The 22,380-nt window shown below is 41.5% G+C and overlaps 1 protein-coding gene across 18 annotated transcripts, besides 1 other annotated feature; it reads left to right on the top strand.

The window, feature by feature from the left end:
- Positions 556-605: a silencer, noted in NCBI's record as "silent region_1451". NCBI's record gives its function as "represses an Ori minimal core promoter by ATAC-STARR-seq in GM12878 lymphoblastoid cells {active_cell/tissue: GM12878}" and the evidence as "EXISTENCE:reporter gene assay evidence [ECO:0000049][PMID:35858748]".
- CD1E (CD1e molecule) lies at positions 17,917-21,576 on the top strand. 18 transcript variants are annotated; one of them, NM_030893.4, is made up of 6 exons: positions 17,917-18,069; positions 18,400-18,696; positions 19,323-19,592; positions 19,850-20,128; positions 20,521-20,614; positions 20,751-21,576. In NM_030893.4, exons 1-6 carry the CDS (start codon positions 18,012-18,014, stop codon positions 20,917-20,919), a joined length of 1,167 nt encoding a protein of 388 aa, NP_112155.2. In that variant the 5' UTR covers positions 17,917-18,011; the 3' UTR covers positions 20,920-21,576. The 18 variants fall into 18 exon arrangements, with proteins under 18 accessions (NP_112155.2, NP_001036048.1, NP_001036049.1 ...); NM_001042583.3 differs by having other exon boundaries at positions 20,787-21,576; NM_001042584.3 differs by having other exon boundaries at positions 19,850-20,024.
- The last annotated feature ends 804 nt before the right edge of the window (positions 21,577-22,380 follow it).

The following is a 22,380-nucleotide window of genomic DNA, read 5'->3' on the forward strand; positions in this document are numbered from 1 at the left end:
GCTGGTCTCAAACTCCTGACCTCAGGTGATCCACCTGTGTTGGCCTCCCAAAGTGCTGGGATTACAGGCGTGAGCCACCGCACCTGGCCCAGATAAGATTTTTTAAGAGGTTAGGTGGTTCCAAGATGGCTGAAGAGGAACAGCTCCAGTCTATAGCTCCCAGCGTGAGTGACGCAGAAGAGGGTGATTTCTGCGTTTCCAACTGTGGTACCCGGTTCATCTCACTGGGGCTTGTCAGACAGTGGGTGCAGGACAGTGGGTGTAGCCCACCAAGCATGAGACGAAACAGGGTGAGGCATCACCTCACCAGGGAAGTGCAAGGGGTCAGGGAATTCCCTTTTCAAGCCAAGGGAAGCTGTGACAGATGGCACCTGGAAAATCGGGTCACTCCCGCCCTAATACTGAGCTTTTCCAATACTTAGCAAACGGCACACCAGGAGATTACATCCTGCGCCTGGCTCAGAGGGTCCCATGCCCATGGAGCCTCACTCATTGCTAGCACAGCAGTCTGAGATCGAACTGCAAGGCTGAAGCAAGGATGGGGGAGAGGCACCTGCCATTGCTGAGGCTTGGGTAGGTAAACAAAGTGGCCAGGAAGCTCGAACTGGGTGTGGCCCACCGCAGCTCAAGGAGGCCTGCCTGCCTCTAGAGACTCCACCTCTGGGGGCGGGGCATAGCTGAACAAAAGGCAGCAGAAACCTCTGCAGACTTAAATGTCCCTGTCTGACAGCTTTGAAGAGAGTAGTGGTTCTCCCAGCACGGAGTTTGAGATCTGAGAATGGTCAGACTGCCTCCTCAAGTGGGTCTCTGACCCCCGAGTAGCCTAACTGGGAGGCACCCCCCAGCAGGGGCAGACTGACACCTCACACGGCTGGGTATTCCTCTGAGATGAAGCTTCCAGAGGAACGATCAGGCAGCAACATTTGCTGTTCAGCAATATCTGCTGTTCTCCAGCCTCTGCTGCTGATATCCAGGCAAACAGGGTCTGGAGTGGACCTCCAGCAAACTCCAATCAACCTGCAGCTGAGGGTCCTGACTGTTAGAATGAAAACTAACAAAAGAAAGGACATCCACATAAAAGCCCCATCTGTACATCACCATCATCAAAGATCAAAGGTAGATAAAACCACAAAGATGGGGAAAAAACAGAGCAGAAAAACTGGAAACTCTAAAATTCAGAGCACCTCTCTCCCTCCAAAGGAACACAGCTCCTCAACAGCAATGGAACAAAGCTGGACAGAGAATGACTTTGACAAGTTGAGAGAAGAAGGCTTCAGATGATCAAACTTCTCAGAGCTAAAGGAGGAAGTTGGAACCCATCACAAAGAAGCTAAAATCCTTGAAAAAAGATTAGATGAATGGCTAACTAGAATAACCAGTTTAGAGAAGCCCTTAAATGACCTGATGGAGCTGAAAACCATGGCACGAGAACTACATGACGAATGCACAAGCTTCAGTAGCTGATTTGATCAACTGGAAGAAAGGATATCAGTGATGGAAGATCCAATGAATGAAACAAAGCAAGAAGAGAAATTTAGAGAAAAAAGAATAAAAAGAAATGAATGAAGCCTCCAAGAAATATGGGATGATGTGAAAAGACCAAATCTATGTCTAACTGGTGTACCTGAAAGTGATGGGGACAGTGGAACCAAGTTGGAAAACAATCTGCAAGATATTATCCAGGAGAACTTCCCCAACCTAGCAAGGCAGGCCAACATTCACATTCAGGAAATACAGATAATGCCACAAAGATACTCCTTGAGAAGAGCAACCCCAAGACACATAATTTTCAGATTCACCAAAGTTGAAATGAAGGAAAAAATGTTAAGGGCAGCCAGAGAGAAAGGTCAGGTTACCCACAAAGGGAAGCCCATCAGACTAACAGCTGATCTGTTGGCAGAAACTCTGCAAGCCAGAAGAGAGTGGGGGCCAATATTCAACATTCTTAAAGAAAATAATTTTCAACCCAGAATTTCATATCCAGCCAAACTAAGGTTCATAAGTGAAGGAGAAATAAAATCCTTTATAGACAAGCAAATGCTGAGAGATTTTGTCACCACCAGGCCTGCCCTACATGAGCTCCTGAAGGAAGCACTAAACATGGAAAGGAACAACTGGTACCAGCCACGCAAAAACATGCCAAATTGTAAAGACCATCGATGCTAGGAAGAAACTGCATCAACTAACGAGTAAAATAACCAGCTAACATCATAATGACAGGATCAAATTCACACATAACAATATTAACCTTAAATGTAAATGGGCTAAATGCTCCAATTAAAAGACACAGACTGGAAATTGGATAAAGAGTCAAGACCCATCAGTGTGCTGTATTCAGGAGACCCATCTCACATACAGAGACACACATGGGCTCAAAATAAAGGGATGGGGGAAGATCTACCAAGCAAATGGAAAACAAAAAAAAGGCAGGGGTTGCAATCCTAGTCTCGGATAAAACAGACTTTAAGCCAAGAAAGATCAAAAGAGACAAAGAAGGCCATTACATAATGGTAAAGGGGTCAATTTAACAAGAACAGCTAATTATCCTAAATATATATGCACCCAATACAGGAGCACCCAGATTCATAAAGCAAGTCCTTAGAGACCTACAAAGAGACTTAGACTCCCACACAATAATAATGGGAGACTTTAACACCCCACTGTAGACATTAGACAGATTAACAAGAGAGAAAGTTAACAAAGATATCCAGGAATTGAACTCAGCTCTGCACCAAGTGGACCTAATCGGCATCTACAGAACTATCTGCCCCAAACCAACAGAATATACATTCTTCTCAGCACCACATCACACTTATTCCAAAATTGACCACATAGTTGGAAGTAAAGGTCTCCTCAGCAAATGTAAAAGAACAGAAATTGTTACAAACTGTCTCTCAGATCACAGTGCAATCAAACTAGAACTCAGTGTTAAGAAACTCACTCAAAACCACTCAACTACATGGAAATTGAACAACTGGCTCCTGAGTGACTACTGGGTACCTAATGAAATGAAGGCAGAAATAAAGATGTTCTTTGAAACCAATGAGAACAAACACACAACATACCAGAATCTCTGGGAAACATTTAAAGCAGCCTGTAGAGGGAAATTTATAGCACTAAATGCCCACAAGAGAAAGCAAGAAAGATCTAAAATTGACATCCTAATTTCACAATTAAAAGAACTAGAGAAGCAAGAGCAAACACATTCAAAAGCTAGCAGAAGGCAAGAAATAACTAAGATCGGAGCAGAACTGAAGGAGATGGAGACACAAAAAAACCTTCAAAAAATCAATGAATCCAGGAGCTTGTTTTTGGAAAAGATCAACAAAATTGATAGAACGCTAGCAAGACTAATAAAGAGGAAAATAGAGAAGAATCAAATAGATGCAATAAAAAATGAAAAAGGGGATATCACCACCAATCCCACAGAAATATAAACTGCCATCAGAGAATACTATAAACACCTCTACGCAAATAAACTAGAAAATCTAGAAGAAATGGATAAATTCCTGGACACATACAACCTCCCAAGACTAAATCAGGAAGAAGTTGAATCTCTGAACCTACCAATAACAGGCTCTGAAATTGAGGCAATAATTAATAGCTTACTGACCAAAGAAAGTCCAGGACCTGACGGATTCACAGCCGAGTTGTACCAGAGGTACAAAGCGGAGCTGCTACCATTCCTTCTGAAACTATTCCAATCAATAGAAAAAGAGGGAATCCTCTCTAACTCATTTTATGAGGCCAGCATCATCCAGATACCAAAACCTGGCAGAGACACAACCAAAAAAGAGAATTTTAGACCAATACCTTTGATGAACATCGATGCAAAAATCCTCAATAAAATACTGGCAAACCAAATCCAGCAGCACACCAAAAAGTTTATCCACCACGATCAAGTGGGCTTCTTCCCCGGGGTGCAAGGCTGGTTCAACATATGCAAATTAATAATTGTAATCCAGCATATAAACAGAACTAAAGAAAAAAACCACATGATTATCTCAATAGATGCAGAAAAGGCCTTTGACAAAATTCAACAGCCCTTCATGCTAAAAACTCTCAATAAACTAGGTATTTATGGGATGTATCTCAAAATAATAAAAGCTATTTATGACAAACCCACAGCCAACATCATATTGAATGGGCAAAAATTGGAAGCATTCCCTTTGAAAACTGTCACAAGACAGGGATGCCCTCTTTCACCACTCCTATTCAACATAGTATTGGAAGTTCTGGCCAGGGCAATCAGGCAGGAGAAAGAAACAAAGGGTATTCCATTAGGAAAAGAGGAAGTCAAATTGTTCCTGTTTGCAGATGACATGATCGTATATTTAGAAAACCCCATCTTCTCAGCCCAAAATATCCTTAAGCTGATAAGGACATTCAGCAAAGTCTCAGGATACAAAATCAATGTGCAAAAATCACAAGCATTCCTATACACCAATAACAGACAAACAGAGAGTCAATTCATGAGTGAACTCCCATTCACAATTGCTTCAAAGAGAATAAAATACCTAGGAATTCAACTTACAAAGGATGTGAAGGACCTCTTCAAGAAGAACTTCAAAACACTGCTCAATGAAATAAAAGAGGACACAAACAAATGGAAGAACATTTCATGCTCATGGGTAGGAAGAATCAATATCATGAAAATGGCCATACTGCCCAAGGTAATTTATAGATTCAATGCCATCCTCATCAAACTACGAGTGACTTTCTTCACAGAATTGGAAAGAACTACTTTAAAGTTCATATGGAACTAAAGAAGAGCCCGCATTGCCAAGACAATCCTAAGCCAATAGAAAAAAGCTGGAGGCATCATGCTACCTTACTTCAAAGTATGCTACAAGGCTACAATAACCAAAACAGCATGGTACTGGCACCAAAACAAAGACATAGACCAATGGAACAGAACAGAGCCCTCAGAAATAATACCACACATCTACAACCATCTGACCTTTGACAAAGCTGACAAAAACAAGAAATGGGGAAAGGATTCTCTATTTAATAAATGGCTCTGGGAAAACTGTCTAGCCATATGTAGAAAGCTGAAACTGGATCCCTTCCTTACACCTTATACAAAAATCAATTCAAGATGGACTAAAGACTTACATGTTAGACCTAAAACCATAAAAACCCTAGAAGAAAACCTAGGCAATACCATTCAGGACATAGGCATGGGCAAGGACTTCATGTCTAAAACACCAAAAGCAATGGCAACAAAAGCCAAAATTGACAAATGGGATCTAATTAAACTAAAGAGCTTCTGCACAGCAAAAGAAACTACCATCAGAGTGAACAGGCAACCTACAGAATGGGAGAAAATTTTTGCAATCTACTCATCTGACAAAGGGCTAATATCCAGAATCGACAATGAACTCAAACAAATTTACAAGAAAAAAACAAACAACCCCATCAAAAAGTGGGCGAAGGATATGAACAGACACTTCTCAAAAGAAGATCTTTATGTAGCCAACAGACACATGAAAAAATGCTCATCATCATTGGCCATCAGAGAAATGCAAATCAAAACCACAAAGAGATACCATCTCACACCAGTTAGAATGGCAATCATCAAAATGTCAAGAAAGTACAGGTGCTGCAGAGGATGTGGAGAAATAGGAATACTTTTACATGGTTGGTGGGACCATAAACTAGTTCAACCATTGTGGAAGTCAGTGTGGCGATTCCTCAAGGATCTAGAACTAGAAATACCATTTCACCAAGCCATCCCATTACTTGCTATATACCCAAAGGATTATAAATCGTGCTGCTATAAAGACACATGCACACATATGTTTATTGTGGCACTATTCACAATAGCAAAGACTTGGAACCAACCCAAATGTCCATCAGTGATAGACTGGATTAAGAAAACGTGGCACATATACACCATGGAATACTATGCAGCCATAAAAAATGATGAGTTCATGTCCTTTGTAGAGATATGGATGAAACTGAAAATCATCATTCCCAGCAAACTATCGGAAAGACAAAAAACCAAAGACCGCATGTTCTCACTCATAGGTGGGAATTGAACAATGAGAACACATGGACACAGTAAGGGGAACATCACACACCGGGGGCCTGTCGTGGGGTGGGGGAAGGGGGGAGGGATAGCATTAGGAGATATACCTAATGTTAAATGACGAGTTAATGGATGCAGCACACTAACATGGCACATGAAAACCTATGTAACAAGCCTGCATATTGTACATGTGTACCCTAGAACTTAATGTATAATAATAAAAAAAAAGAAAATGAAGATGAGGAGGAAAAAAATTAAAAAAAAAAAGATTCCTTTGGATTTTCCAAGTATACAATCAAAAAAATTTAAGAGGTTAACAAGTGTCTTATTTTCTGGGAGTGTTTTGTGTAAACTTTTCTTACCAGATTAAGAATATTCTCTTCTAAATTAGTTTAAAGTTTTTTTATTATTATTATGGAGAACTGTTTATATAGGTGCTTATATTATTTTATTTTATTATGTACTTATTTATTCATTTAATTTTTTTTTTTTTTTGAAATGGAGTCTTGCTCTGTCGTTCAGGCTGGAGTGCAGCGGAGCAATCGCAGCTCACTGCAAACTCCGCCTCCCAGGTTCAAGCGATGCTTCTGCCCCAGCCTCTCCAGTAGCTGGGACTACAGGTGCCCACCACCACGCCTGGCTAATTTTTGTGTTTTTTTTTTTTGTAGAGATAGGGTTTCACCATGTTGTCCAGCCTGGTCTTGAACTCCTGAGCTCAAGTGATCCACCCGCCTTGGCCTCCCAAAATGCTGGGGTTACAGGTGTCAGCCACTGTGCCTGGCCAGGTCTTACATTTTAATTGTTAATCCACCGTGAGTTAATTTTTGTAAATGGTGAAAGGCAGAAATGCAGTTTTATTCTTCTGCATATGGTTATCTGTTTTCCCAGAACCATTTATTGGATATTGAGTTATTTATCAATTACTCATTTTTGTTCACTTTGTTAAAGAACAGTTGGTTGAAAATATGATGCTTTATTTTTGATTTCTCTATTAAGTTCCATTGGTCTATCTTGTTAATTTTTGTATCAGTACCATGCTGTTTTGGTTATTGTAGCCTAATAGTAAAGTTTGAAGTCAGGTAGTGTGATTCCTCTGGCTTTGTTCTTTTCCCTTTGGATTGCTTTGGCTATCTGGGCTTATTTTTGGTTCCATATGAATTTTGGGATAGTTTTTTTCTAAGTCTGTGAAAAATGATGTTGGTGATTTGATACAAATAACATCAAATCTGTAGATTGCTTTGGGCAGTATGAACATTTTAATAATATTGATTCTTCAAATCCATGAGCATGAAATGTTTTTCCATTTGTTTGTGTCCCGTATGATTTCTTTCAGCAGTGTTTTGTAATTCTCTTTGGAGAGATCTTTTGCCCCTTTCGTTAAAGGTATTCATAGATATTTTACTTTTTTTGGTGGATACTGCAAATGGGGTTGCATTCTTTATTTGGCTCTCAGCTTGAATGTTATTGGTGTATAGTAATGCTACTAGGTTTAGTACATTGACTTTGTATCTGAAGTTTTATTGAAATTGTTTGTCCACTCCAGGAGACTTTTGGTGGAATCTTTAGAGTTTTCTACAGATAAAACTATATCATCAGTGAAGAGAGGTAATTTGACTTCCTATTTAGTTATTTGGATGCTTTGCATTTTGTTCTCTTGACTAATTGCTTTGGCTTGGTCTTCCAGCACTATGTTGAATAAGAGTGGTGAGAGTGGGCATCCTTGTCTTGTTCCAGTTCTTAAGAGGAATGCTTTTGGTCATTCAGTATGATGTTGGCTATGGGTTTGTTGTATATGGCTTTTATTATTTTGAAGTAAGTTCCTTTGATGCCTGGTTTGTTGACGGTCCAGGGACTTTTTTGGTTGGTAAGTTTTTATTGCTGATTCAGTTATGGAACTCGTTATTGCTCTGTTTAGCGTTTCAAATTCTTCCTGGTTCTATCTTGAGAGATTATGTGTTTGCAGGAATTTACCCATTTCCTCTAGATTTTATAGTTTGTGTGCATAGAGGTATTTATAGTAGTTTCTGGGGGATCTTTTGTATTTCTGTGGGATCAGTTGTAATGTCACCTTTTCCATTTCTGCTTATGCTTATTTGGATCATGTCTCTTTCTTTTTTTTTAACACTTTTATCTTAAGTTTAGGGGTACTTGCACAGGCTTGTTACATAGATAAACTTCTGTCATGAAGGTTTGTGGTACAGATTATTTAATCACCCAGGTATTCAGCTTAGTACCCACTAGTTTTTTTTCCTGATCCTCTCCCTCCTCCTACCCTGTAACCTCCAATAGGCCCCAGTGTGTGTTGTTCCCCTCTATGTGTCCATGTATTCTCATCATTTTGCTCCCACTTATGAGAACATGTGGTATTTTGATTTCTGTTCCTGTGTAGTTTGCTAAGGATAATGGCCTTTATTTAGCTCCATCCATGTCCTATAAAGGGCATTATCTCATTCCTTTTTGTGGCTGCATAGTATTCCATGGTGTATATGTACCACGTTTTCTTTATCCAGTCTATCATTAATGGACATTTAGGTTGACTCCATGTCTTCACTATTGTGAATAATGCTGCAATAAACATTCACGTGCATGTGTCTTTATAATAGAACAATTTATATTTCCCTGGGTATATACCCAGTAATGGGATTGTTGGGTTGAGTGGTATTTCTGTTTTTAGCTCTTTGAGGAATTGCCCCACTTTCTTCCACAATGGTTGAACTAATTTATACTCCCACCAACAGTGTATAAGTGTTCCTTTTTCTCCACTACTTCACCAGCATCTGTTATTTTTGGACTTTTTAATAATAGCCATTCTGACTGATGTGAGATGGTATCTCATTGTGGTTTTGATTTGCATTTCTCTAATGATAAGTGATGTTGAGCTTTCTCTTATATGATTGTTGGCCACATGTATGTCTTCTTTCGAGAAGTGTCTGTTCATGTCCTTTTCCCACTTTTTGATGGGACTCTTTTTCTTGTAAATTTATTTAAGTTCCTTATAAGTGCTGGATTTAAACTTTATTAGATCTTGTTGAGCTTCCTTATCATCCAGATTCTGAGTCCTATATCTGTCATTTCATACATTTCAGTCTGGTTAGGTTCATTGCTAAGGTTCATTTTCAAGGTAACAAAACACCTCGGACTTTTTGAATTGCTGGAGTTATTGTGTTGATTCCTTCTCGTGAGGGAGCTGGCACTTCTTTTTCTTTTTGAATTTGTTGCCATTTGGATGAGGTTTATATATACATATATTATTTTTATATATATATATATATATATATATATATATATATATATGTACACACACACACACACACACACACACACACATATGAGAATGAGTTCTTTCAGAGAGCCAAGGCTCTGTACAGGTTCCTAGGTTGTAGATAGTTTCCTGCAGTGGGTTTCACAGGCAATGAGTGTTGGTGAAATGCACTTTTGTTTGGTGATGTACTTCAGGCTGCAGTCAAGTAGATGGTGCTTAACAGCAGGGCTGACAGTCTCTTAGTCAGCTGTACACTTGTTTTGTTTTTCAGCGTGTTTGTAGCAATGCTCTGGGAAGAGGAGATGGGGGTCAATATATGGCTCCCTCTACAAGTCCATTCCCAGGTTTGGGTAACATCACCTTCGATTACTGGTGCTTTGTCCACTTTTTCTTTGTCATTTTTCTGTGTCTACTTTAATATCTTTCATTAATATTTTGTAATTTTCAGTGCATTAGTCTTTTTTTTTTTTTGAGATGGAGTCTCACTCTGTCACCAGGCTGGAGTGCAGTGGCACGATCTCGGCTTACTGCAACCTCTGCCTCCCAGGTTCAAGCGATTCTCCTGCCTCAGCCTCCTGAGTAGCTGGGATTACAGGTGCGTGGCACCACACCCAGCTAATTTTAGTATTTTTAGTAGAGACGGAGTTTCACCATCTTGGCCAGGATGGTCTGGATCCCTTGACCTCGTGATCCACCTGCCTCGGCCTTCCAAAGTGCTGGGATTACAAGCATGAGCCACTGCGCACCTCTTTGATTAAGCTTATTCCTGAGTATTTTATTCTTTTTATGCTACTATAAATGAGATTGTTTTCTTAATTTCCTTTCATGATAGTTTATTGTGTATAGAAACACCATTGATATGTGTGTGTTGATTTTTGTGTTCTACATCTTTACTGAATTTATTAATTCTAATCATTTTTCTTGTTGAGTATTAAGGGTTTTCTGTGTACATCATCATGTAGATTTTATAAATCATATCGATTTTGTAGATTATTGCTGCAGACAGATAATTTTACCTTTTACTTTAGATTTTGATGCCTTTTATTTCTTTTTCTTATCTACTTGCTCTGTCTAGGGCTTCTAACACTGTGTTGAATAGAAGTAGCAAGAGTGGACATTCACGCCTTGTCCTGGATCTTAGAGAAAAGATTGATTATGATGTTAGCTGTGGGATTTTCATATATGCCCTTTATTATGGGATTTTTTTTTGGATATGACACCAAAAGCACCAGCAACAAAAGCAAAAATAGACAAACAGGATTGTTTCAAACTAAAAAGCTTCTGTGCAGCAAAGGAGACAATAGAGTGAAGAGGCAACCTACAGAAGGGGAGAAAATACGTGTAAACTGCTGGGTGCCGTGTCTCACGCCTGTAATCCCAGCACTTTGGGAGGCCAACGTGGGCAGATCACCTGAGGTCAGGAGTTTGAGACCAGCCTGGCCAACATGATGAAACCCCATTTCTACTAAAAATACAAAAAATTAGTTGGGTGTGGTGGCAGGCGCCTGTAATCCCAGCTACTCAGGAGGCTGGGACAGAAGAATCGCTTGAACCTGGGAGGCAGAGGTTGCAGTGAACTGAGATTGTGCCACTGCACACCAACCTGGGCAACAAGAGTGAAACTCCATCAAAAAAAAAAAAAAGATAGTATTTGCAAACCATATGTCTGAAAAGGGTTTAATAGTCAAAATACATAAAGAACTCATGCAACACAATAGCAAAACAAAACAAAACAAAACAAAACCCTAATTAAAAATGAACAAAGAATCTGAATAGACACTTTTCTTAAAAAAAAAGCATACAAATAGCCAATAGATATATTAAAAGGTGCGCAATATCACTAATCATCAGAGACATGCAAATCAAAACCATAGTTAGATATCCCCTCCTACCTGTTAGGATGGCTATTGTTAAAAATACAAAAGAAAAGAAGTGTTGATGAGGATGTGGAGAAAAAAGAACCCTTGTATTCTTTTGGTAGCCATGTAAATTGGTATATCCATTATGGCAAACAGTACGCAGGTGCCTCAAAAAATTAAAAATAGAATTACCATATGTTCCAGCAATCCCACTTTTGTAAATATGTCCAAAGGAAATAGAATCACTATCTCAAAGAGCTATCTGCACTCTCATGTTCATTGCAGCACTATTCACAATAGCAAAAATGTGAAAAAAAAACTGAGTGTTCATTGACATATGAATGGATAAATAAAATTTGATATATATAATGGATGTTATTCAATCTTTAAAAAGAAAATCCTGCCATTTGTAACAACACAGGTGAAACTGGAGGACATTATGTGAAGTGAAATAAGCCAGAAACAGAAAGAAAAATGCTGCATAATCTTGTGTGAGGATTCGAAAGTAGTCAAACTCATGGAAACAGAATAGAATGGGGATTTCCAGGGATTGCAGTAAGGGAGAAGTGAGGAGATGTTGGTAAAAGGTAGATAGTTCCAGTTATGCAAGATAAGTTCTGGAGGTCTAATGCACGGCAATGTGACTATAGTGAACAATACTCTATTGTGTAGTATTTGAATTGCTAAGAGGGAGGATCTTAGATGTTCTCACTATAAAAAATAAGAAAAAATGGCCAGGCGCGGTGGCTCATGCCTGTAATCCCAGCACTTTGGGAGGCTGAGGCGAGCGGATCACGAGGTCAGGAGATCGAGACCATCCTGGCTAACACAGTGAAACTCCATCTCTACTAAAAATACAAAAAATAAAAATAAAAAATAAAAAAATTAGCCGGGCATACTGGCTGGTGCCTGTACTCCCATCTACTCGGGAGGCTGAGGCAGGAGAATGGTGTGAACCTGGGAGGCGGAGCTTGCAGTGAGCCAAGATCATGCTGTGTCCGGAATTGGTGGGTTCTTGGTCTCACTGACTTCAAGAATGAAGCCGCGGACCCTCACGGTGAGTGTTACAGTTCTTAAAGGCGGTGTGTCCGGAGTTTGTTCCTTCTGATGTTCAGATGTGCTGGGAGTTTCTTCCTTCTGGTGGGTTCGTGGTCTCGCTGGCTCAGGAGTGAAGCTGCAGACCTTCGCAATGAGTGTTACAGCTCTTAAGGCAGCACGTCTGGAGTTGCTCGTTCCTCCCGGTGGGCTCGTGGTCTCGCTGGCTTCAGGAGTGAAGCTGCAGACCTTCGAGGTGAGTGTTACAGCTCATAAAGGCAGTGTGGACCCAAAGAGTGAGCAGTAGCAAGATTTATTGCAAAGAGCGAAAGAACAAAGCTTCCACAGTGTGGAAGGGGACCCCAGCGGGTTGCCACTGCTAGCTGGGGGCAGCCTGCTTTTATTCTTTTATCTGGCCCCACCCACATCCTGCTGATTGGTAGAGCCAAGTAGTCTGTTTTGACAGGGTGCTGATTGGCGAGTTTACAATCCCTGAGCTAGACACAAATGTTCTCCACGTCCCCACCAGATTAGCTAGATACAGAGTGTGGACACAAAGGTTCTCCAAGGCCCCACCAGAGTAGCTAGATACAGAGTGTTCATTGGTGCATTCACAAACCCTGAGCTAGACACAGGGTGCTGATTGGTGTGTTTACAAACCTTGAGCTAGAGACAGAATGCCAATTGGTGTATTTACAATCCCTGAGCTAGACATAAAGATTCTCCACGTTCCCACCAGACTCAGGATCCCAGCTGGCTTCACCTAGTGGATCCTGCACTGGGGCTGCAGATGGAGCTGCCTGCCAGTCCCCCGCCGTGAACCCGCACTCCTCAGCCCTTGGGTGGTTGATGGGACTGGGCGCCGTGGAGCAGGGGGCTGCGCTCATCGGGGAGGCTCCGGCCGCACAGGAGCCCATGGAGGGGGTGGGAGTCTCAGGCATGGCGGGCTGCAGGTCCCGAGCCCTGCCCCACGGGGAGGCAGCTAAGGCCTGGTGAGAAATCAAGCACAGCGCTGGTGGGCTGGCACTGCTGGGGGATCCAGTACACCCTCCGCAGCCGCTGGCCCGGGTGCTAAGTCTCTCATTGCTCGGGGCCGGCAGGGCCGGCTGGCTGCTCCGAGTGCAGGCCCGCCAAGCCCACGCCCACCCTGCACTCCAGCTGGAACCGCCCGCAGCCCAGGTTCCCGCTCGCGCCTCTCCCTCCACACCTCCCTGCAAGCTGAGGGAGCCGGCTCCGGCCTTGGCCAGCCCAGAAAGGGGCTCCTACAGTGCAGCGGCGGGCTGAAAGGCTTCTCAAGTGCTGCCAAAGTGGGAGCCCAGGCAGAGGAGGCACCGAGAGCAAGCAAGGTCTGTGAGGACTGCCAGCACGCTGTCACCTCTCAATGCCACTGCACTCCAGCCTGGGTGACAGAGTGAGAATCCGTCTCAAAAAGAAAAAAAAAAGAAAAAATGTAACTATGTGAAGTGATGGATATGGTAATAACTTGACTGTGGCGATTACTTCACAGTATATACATATATCATAACATCATGTTGTGCACCTTAAGTATACCCAATTTAAAAAAAATTAAGGTAGAATATAAATATATAATTTATCATCTTCACCATTTTAAAATGTACAGCTCAGTGGCAATAAATACTTTTTTATACTCAATTTTTATTTGTTGGTTGTACCTCACTAAAGCTGAAAAATATATTTGAATAAATGTTAAAGAAATGTAAGTATACACAAACAAGAAAATAAGTATGTAGAAATTGCAATCTTTCCTGAAAATAAGCCAAAAGAATAAAACTCGTATTTAAATTCTTTGAAAAAAAATTAGCAGATGGAACATTTTCTTACATTTGTACAAATGTACTCAAAAATTTTATTTTAAATCAATTTTAATGAGTTATCTCCCATAAATTTCTTACATAGAAAGATTAAGTTGTCCAAAGGCACATCTTATAATATGTTTTGAGAGAATTTTCTGGTTTTGGCAAAAGGGGATCTGCGAATGTGACTGGGGCAGCCTCAGGAAAACATAAGAGGGGGAATTTCTTTTTAAAAGAGACCTCTGGCCACAGACACTAAGTATTTTTAGTAAAAAATGTGGTTAGGCACTGATGGAATATTTTTTTTTTTTTTTTTTTTGAGACGGAGTCTTTCTCTGTTGCCCAGGCTGGAGTGCAGTGGCACAATCTTGGCTCACTGCAACCTCTGCCTCCCAGGTTCAAGCGATTCTCTTGCCTCAGCTTCTCGAATAGCTGGGACCATAGGCACGTGCCACCACGCCCTGCTAATTTTTTTGTATTTTTAGTAGAGAGGGGTTTCACCGTGTTAGCCAGGATGGTCTCGATCTCCTGACCTCCTGATCTGCCTGCCTCGGCCTCCCAAAGTGCTGGGATTACAGGAGTGAGCCACTGTGCCTGGCCCACTGATGGAATTTTGTAAAGCAGGAAGGAAATAATTGTACCATATAATGTTACAAAAATTAAAATTAATATATATTTTTTCTTTGGAATTTATCTTCTGGATAATTTTAATTTAGAAGGAATTTCATTATTTTGTTAATGATTATGGGGTTGCTGTCAGACATTATTTCTACTTTGCTCAGTAATTTGCAGTTATCTGTGAGTTCTGTAGCCTCAAAATTAAAAACTAGGGTGTGGTTATCTTTACTTACATAAAAGTGCAATTTTTTGTGGAATAACAACATTGTTTTATTCTCTAAATATACTTTGCTTTATTTTACTTTGCAAATGATTTTAAAATTCTCCCTCTTTTTTTTTTTTTTGAAACAGAGTCACACTCTCCTGCCCAGGATGTAGTACAGTGGCACAATCTCAGTTCCCTGCAATCTCCACCTCCTAGGCTCAAGCAATTCTCCTGCCTCAGCCTCCTGAGTAGCTGGAATTACAGGCACACATCATGGCACCTGGCTAATTTTTACTTTTTTTGGTAGAGACAGGGTTTCGCCATGTTGGCAAGGCTGGTCTCGAATTCGCCTGCCTTGGCTTCCCAAAGTGCTGGGATTACGGGTGTGAGCCACCGTGCCTGGCCTGATTCAAAAATTCTAATGGCCGGGGCACGGTTGCTCACGCCTGTAATCTCAGCACTTTGGGAGGCCGAGGCGGGTGGATCACGAGGTCAGGAGATCGAGACCGTCTTGGTCAACATGAAGAAACCCTGTCTCTACTAAAAATACAAAAAATAGATGGTCATGGTGGCTCTTGCCTGTAATCCCAGCTGCTCAGGAGGCTGAGGCAGGAGAGTCGTTTGAACCAGGGATTCGGGGGTTGCAATGAGCCGAGATCCTGTGGCTGCACTGCAGCCTGGGCAACAGAGCAAGACAGCAAGACTCCGTCTCAGGAAAAAACAAAACAAAACAAAAATTCTAAGGAATACAGTTACTTGTAGTATTGATGTTTGGCATAGGTCATTCCAATCTTTTTATTATGTATTATTGTTTTTGTAGGTTATTATATATTCTCTTGAATATTTATCTTTGTTTACTGTTCATAATTTTATTATGAAACCAATTTTGGATTTACATAGCGATTTATAGATAGATTTACATAGCAACTTATAGCTTTGAATGTATTTGTAGAAAAGAAAGAGTATTGAAAATAAATGTAGACATTCTACTCAGGAAACAAGGAAACTTTTTTTAATCTTTCTTTAACCTTAGAATTTAGAAATGATAATAAGATGAAACTAGGTTTGGACCTTTTTCTTTTGTTTTTTTGTTTGCAGTTTTTTTTTCTTTTTTTAATTATTTTTATTTATTTATTTATTTTTTATTATTATACTTTAAGTTCTAGGGTACATGTGCACAACGTGAAGGTTTGTTACATATGTATACATGTGTCGTGTTGGTGTGCTGCACCCATTAACTCGTCATTTACATTAGGTATATCTCTTAATGCTATCCCTCCCCCCTCCCCCCACCCCACAACAGGCCCCGGTGTGTGATGTTCCTCTTCCTGTGTCCATGTGTTCTCATTGTTCAATTCCCACCTATGAGTGAGAACATGCGGTGTTTGGTTTTTTGTCCTTGTGATAGTTTGCTGAGAATGATGGTTTCCAGCTTCATCCATGTCCCTACAAAGGACATGAACTCATCATTTTTTATGGCTGCATAGTATTTCATGGTGTATATGTGCCACATTTTCTTAATCCAGTCTATCATTGTTGGACATTTGGGTTGGTTCCAAGTCTTTGTTATTGTGAATAGTGCCACAATAAACATACGTGTGCATGTGTCTTTATAGCAACATGATTTATAATCCTTTGTGTATATACCCAGTAATGGGATGGCTGGGTCAAATGGTATTTCTAGTTCTAGATCCCTGAGGAATCGCCACCCTGACTTCCACAATGGTTGAACTAGTTTACAGTCCCACCAACAGTGTAAAAGTGTTCCTATTTCTCCACATCCTCTCCAGCACCTCTCCAGCACAGAAAGAGTATTGAAAATAAATGTAGATATTCTACTCAGGAAACAAGGAAACTTTTTATCTTTCTTTTAACTTAGAATTTAGAAATGATAATAAGATGAAACTAGGTTTGGACCTTTTTCAATAATTCTGACCACCGTTCAGTAAATTTACTGTATAAGAAAAGTAGAGGTTTGGGGTTGAATTTTGTTTTATTTTTTCCCAAAGATGTCTATCTCTGATATCTTAGGGCCTGGCAATTGTTTTTGGTCATAGGTGGGCTCTGAATAAATGTCAGTTGAACAAATATATAAAAACCAAACAAAGGAATGTTATTTCAACTGCCTTCAGAGTGTCACAACAAATATCAATGAAAAAGAAACAAAAATAAAGACTCAATTAATTCTCCAGTGAACACTTCAGTCCTCTAAAGGTACTTCCCTGTGTCCACCCAAACTGCTCTCTAACCGAACGCAAGCAAGGGGACTCCAATGCTCTCAGGCCATGAACTAATGAGGAGCTTCATGCCTGCCCTCAGTCTTTCTTCATACCCAGGGCAAAGCTGGCCCACAGACTTCCAGACATGCTTTCTTCGTTTGGGTAGAGATGGGGATCCAAGTCCCCTATGTATTTCCTCCAGAGCCACCTGTAAAACATGGGTGAAATCTACCTGCCCTCTAGCTCACCACTTCCAGGTCAAGCCCACTCATGGACCACTTTAACAGTGACAGTTGGCTTGACTGGGGAAACTGAAAAAAAGGAGCTTTCTTTAGATTTTCTGATAATCTGCATTGCCATTGCTGCTCCTTTTTCAGCAGCACAGAGAGTTGGATTATGGAGGGTTGCCTGCTTATTATGCAGCTACATCCAGGATGCTGAGTGTCTTCTGATCATGATCAAGAGCAGAGTGAAGAGATACAGGCGGAGGAGAGGATCACAGAGAGGTAGAAGTGGGAGACTGGTGGATAGGTCACTAGGCACCACTGAGTGACTACCATCACTTCTCACAGATTAGATTATTGACAAGCCAAGTATGGATTTGATTTCTACAAGGCCAAAAGCTACTCCATCTTCTAGCCAGACCACAGACTTTGTTTTAAGCCAGGACTCGTTTTCCAGCAGTTAGTGCAATTAGGGAGGTTGGGAGGATGTACACAAGAGCAGGGAGAAAATCTGGAGCCAGACAGTGAGAGAGGCAGAGGGGAAATGAAAAACCCCGTGGGAGGCTGCAGCAAAGCGAGGCAGTGTGGCTTCTCTGACAGGGAAGTCAGCAGAGGGAGAGGTTTGTCTGTCTGTACAGCAAGGGAAGTCAGACGAGAGTGCAAGAGGGTGTGGAGAGGGGTACTGATATCTGAATTATTAGGGCAGGTGTCCTGCCAAGGAATCCCTCCTTTAACAGAGCTTCAATGCTGCTCCTGTTCCTCCTCTTCGAGGGTCTCTGCTGTCCTGGGGAAAATACAGCAGGTAAGAAGAGTGCAGGTGGAAAGATACCTATGGTAGGGCACCAGAGGGCTGAGAGGAAGCTCTGGGGAGGTCCTGGGGGAAGGGAGCAGTACTCTTCTAGGATGCCCTTGGAATATGCCTTTCAGGCTAGTTCCAGGCAGAGAATTCTTGCTCTCAGTCTCAGTTTTTGTCTCTGATTTTGGAGAAAGGAAGCTGGCCCCACAGGAAAAGGGTATTGGAGTATGTACAAGCTACCTAACTGTCTCTCATCTCTGGGTTCCTTTTTTCCCTTTGGCATCACTTTTCCCATCCCTTTACATTCTCTCTACTTGTCATTTCCCTCTCTCTCAGCTCCCCAGGCTCTACAATCCTATCATCTAGCAGCAGAGGAGCAGCTGTCCTTCCGCATGCTCCAAACTTCCTCCTTTGCCAACCACAGCTGGGCACACAGTGAGGGCTCAGGATGGCTGGGTGACCTGCAGACTCATGGCTGGGACACTGTCTTGGGCACCATCCGCTTTCTGAAGCCCTGGTCCCATGGAAACTTCAGCAAGCAGGAGCTGAAAAACTTACAGTCACTGTTCCAGTTATACTTCCATAGTTTTATCCAGATAGTGCAAGCTTCTGCTGGTCAATTTCAGCTTGAATGTAAGTTCGTTGCTCTAAGCTGATAATTTGCCTGGGAACACCAACTATTTTCCAAAGTGGAAGATAGTATATAGACTCTGACCATCATTTAACCTTACTAACCTTGTTCCCCACTCTCTGACTCCCACTCCCTCCTCTGCTTCACCCTTCACCACCACCCACACTCCACCATATACACAAAAGGGCCTGCATGTACATATCTCAACATGAATATAGCTTCATGTCTGGCTCTTTGGAATGATTGTCTCCTCTGGATCTTCTGCCCCTCATTCCTGCCCTCAGACTCAGCCTTTCTCAACCCTCTTTCTGCCCTTCTTTATCCTTTGCCTGAGTGTTGACATGGACTGGCCTGTACCTAACCACTTTCACGTGAATTATTTATGACCAATCTCCTATCTTCCTGATAGCCTTCCCATCTACCACTTTCCCATTAGTTATTTCAAAGTATCTTTATTATCTTCAAATTTTCTTCCCACAAATTTTCTTCCCCTTTGCCAGTAAACTCTAGTCTCCATATGATTTCCCAGCAAATTTTTCTTCCCTTGAATCTCTTTACTGTCTAAATTGTTTGTTTTTCTTCCTTGTCATTCTTTCCATAATGATCTCTCTTCCCTGTCCACTCTCAGACCCCTTCGAGATCCAGATATTAGCTGGCTGTAGAATGAATGCCCCACAAATCTTCTTAAATATGGCATATCAAGGGTCAGATTTCCTGAGTTTCCAAGGAATTTCCTGGGAGCCATCTCCAGGAGCAGGGATCCGGGCCCAGAACATCTGTAAAGTGCTCAATCGCTACCTAGATATTAAGGAAATACTGCAAAGCCTTCTTGGTCACACCTGCCCTCGATTTCTAGCGGGGCTCATGGAAGCAGGGGAGTCAGAACTGAAACGGAAAGGTGAGCCCAACTCTCTCTCTCCCCTCTTGTTCCTAGTACTATAACTCTCATATTTGAATTTGCCTCTCATCATCATTTTGAAAGACATAGTGAGAGACTAGAGAATGAGATGTGTGGGTTCAGGACTGTTTCTTAGACAAGAGAAAGAAGTGATTACTAAATCACTCTTAGTATTATTACAAAGGCACCTGAGTCTCTGAGCTCTGGCCTGGGGTGCCCTTCAAAATTCCATTTTTTTTCTATCTTCTTCTTCCTAGTGAAGCCAGAGGCCTGGCTGTCCTGTGGCCCCAGTCCTGGCCCTGGCCGTCTGCAGCTTGTGTGCCATGTCTCAGGATTCTACCCAAAGCCCGTGTGGGTGATGTGGATGCGGGGTGAGCAGGAGCAGCGGGGCACTCAGCGAGGGGACGTCCTGCCTAATGCTGACGAGACATGGTATCTCCGAGCAACCCTGGATGTGGCGGCTGGGGAGGCAGCTGGCCTGTCCTGTCGGGTGAAACACAGCAGTCTAGGGGGCCATGATCTAATCATCCATTGGGGTGAGAAACAGCTGAGGCTCTGCTGGGAAATAATGAAAATAGCCCTGGGGCTTTTGAGTGTGGGGCTGAGGAAATGGGTAGGAATGCTAGGTACAAGAAGGGTAAAACTGGGACAATCAAAATAAAGAAGGATAGAGTATGACAGTAGTTAAATTTTAAGAAAATGGAAGTAGAGAATTAGACATACTAACAGAAAAAGGAGGAGGAACTAGTGATTTAGTGGGAGAGGGTTGGGAGGAGATCACAGACAAAGGATCAGGAGGAATTGAAATGAGGGCTTTGGAAAACCCAGATGAAAATTCTAGGAAGGTCCCACCCTTGTGAAATGGGAAATCTCAGCTTGGTGGAATAGAGTATTTTAGGGTTGGTATTCTTATTCTATCCCCAACCAGGTGGATATTCCATCTTTCTCATCCTGATCTGTTTGACTGTGATAGTTACCCTGGTCATATTGGTTGTAGTTGACTCACGGTTAAAAAAACAGAGGTGAGCTTTTTCTTGTTCTTTGTTTCTTCAGCCTGTAATCAATTCATTCCTTTTTCCTCTATCTTCTTTTTTTTTTTCTCTGCCTTTCCCCTTTATTTCCTTTCTTTGAGATTAATATCCTCCTCTTTTCCCACAGTTCAAATAAGAACATTCTTTCTCCCCACACACCCAGCCCTGTCTTTCTCATGGGAGCCAACACTCAGGACACCAAGAATTCAAGACATCAGTTCTGCTTGGCACAAGTATCGTGGATCAAAAACAGAGTATTGAAGAAGTGGAAGACACGCCTAAACCAACTCTGGTGACATTTGCTTTACCTTATACATAAAATCCTTGTCTGCATCTTCTTAAACACCGTCCATGTCCCATAAGGGAAGCATGCTTTTATTTAAACAGTTTATACTAGCAAAGATACTGACCCCTTTAGGAATACTTTTTCCCCATCTTCCAGAGATTTTTTTTTTCCTGCTTTGGCTACATATCCATCATTGTTTATTTTTGAAACTATAATCCAGATACTTCTTTTTCATGGATTCCCGAGATCACCCAATTGATAGCTCTTCTGTACTCCCCAAATTGAACTGATCTTCACAAGCACATTCATCTCTTCCTACTCTGAACAGTAGTTATTTAGGTTTTTGCTCTTTTTTTTTTTTTAATCTCAGTTGCTTGAAAGTAGGATTTAGGTATTTGTGTCTGTATTCATGACCAAAAATCTTATCTGAATTCAGGGCCAGCTTCATAAGCATGTGACCTGTGCAGACACATGGAATCGTATGCTCTGCAAGAACCCATGCTAGATTTAATGCTCTGCTGTTGTCATCTTGGAATCCTTAGTCATTTTCAAACAAGAGATATTGTATTTTCATTTTTCACTGACCCCACAAATTATATAGCTGATTCAGTGTGAATGTAATATTTCTCAATAAATGCTGACTGAAATAAATTTGTTGTTAGATCAAGTGATGTTGTTTTACTCCATTCCCTCTCTGATATCTCTGCGTCATTTGACTGTGCTCTTGCTAAAACTCTTCCTCTCTCCCTTTGTCTCTCACCAGAGGTGAAGGAGGCAGATGAATGCCTCAGACTCCACAGTGATTGGAATGTTAATGAATCTTCAGGGATATTTAGGAAAATAATAACATAAGGGCTATCTCCTGTCAAAGTGAGGAGAGGTTTGAACTGGCATTCCTACTTCCCTGAGCCATGTGTATCTATGTGTGTCTTTGTGGATGTGCATATTCATGGGAGAAATTCATATTTTGAGCAATTAGAAGGAGGACATAGGGTTTGAGCCAGAGCTAAGGCAATGAAGCAAAAGAGTGATTGGATGCCAGTTAAGCTACATGCTTGTTTTTATTTATTAGTGTGGCTTATTATTGTTATTATTATTTACAGTTTGTTTTTCTTTAGTTTTTATATGGATTCTTACATTTACATAATTTACTTCATTTGAGATACATTTGGTTGAGCCTACTGGAGAGCAGGAATCTGGTAGAAGTGCAGTGTTTATATACATGTCCAGTCAACCCCTCCCTTGGATGGAATAATTGAGCAGATTGTGCATATTTCTTTTCTTTTTTTTTGAGATGGAGTCTCGATCTGTTGGCCAGGCTGGAGTGCAGTGGCTGGTGTCAGATCACTGCAAGCTCCACCTCCGGGGTTCATGCCGTTCTCCTGCCTCAGCCTCCCCAGTAGCTGGGACTACAGGCGCCTGTCACCACTCCCGGCTATTTTTTTTTTAATTTTTAGTAGAGACGGGGTTT

Source organism: Homo sapiens, chromosome 1 (assembly GCF_000001405.40).
Source record: "Homo sapiens chromosome 1, GRCh38.p14 Primary Assembly".
Taxonomy (NCBI): domain Eukaryota; kingdom Metazoa; phylum Chordata; class Mammalia; order Primates; family Hominidae; genus Homo; species Homo sapiens.

What these genes read in the sequence shown, in the direction of transcription:
- CD1E (NM_030893.4), top strand. Translation starts at nt 18,012, where the DNA reads ATGCTGCTCCTGTTCCTCCTCTTCGAGGGTCTCTGCTGTCCTGGGGAA. An exon ending in TGATCTAATCATCCATTGGG is followed by an intron (nt 20,129 to 20,520) that starts GTGAGAAACAGC and finishes ATCCCCAACCAG; the next exon opens with GTGGATATTCCATCTTTCTC. An exon ending in TCACGGTTAAAAAAACAGAG is followed by an intron (nt 20,615 to 20,750) that starts GTGAGCTTTTTC and finishes CTTTTCCCACAG; the next exon opens with TTCAAATAAGAACATTCTTT.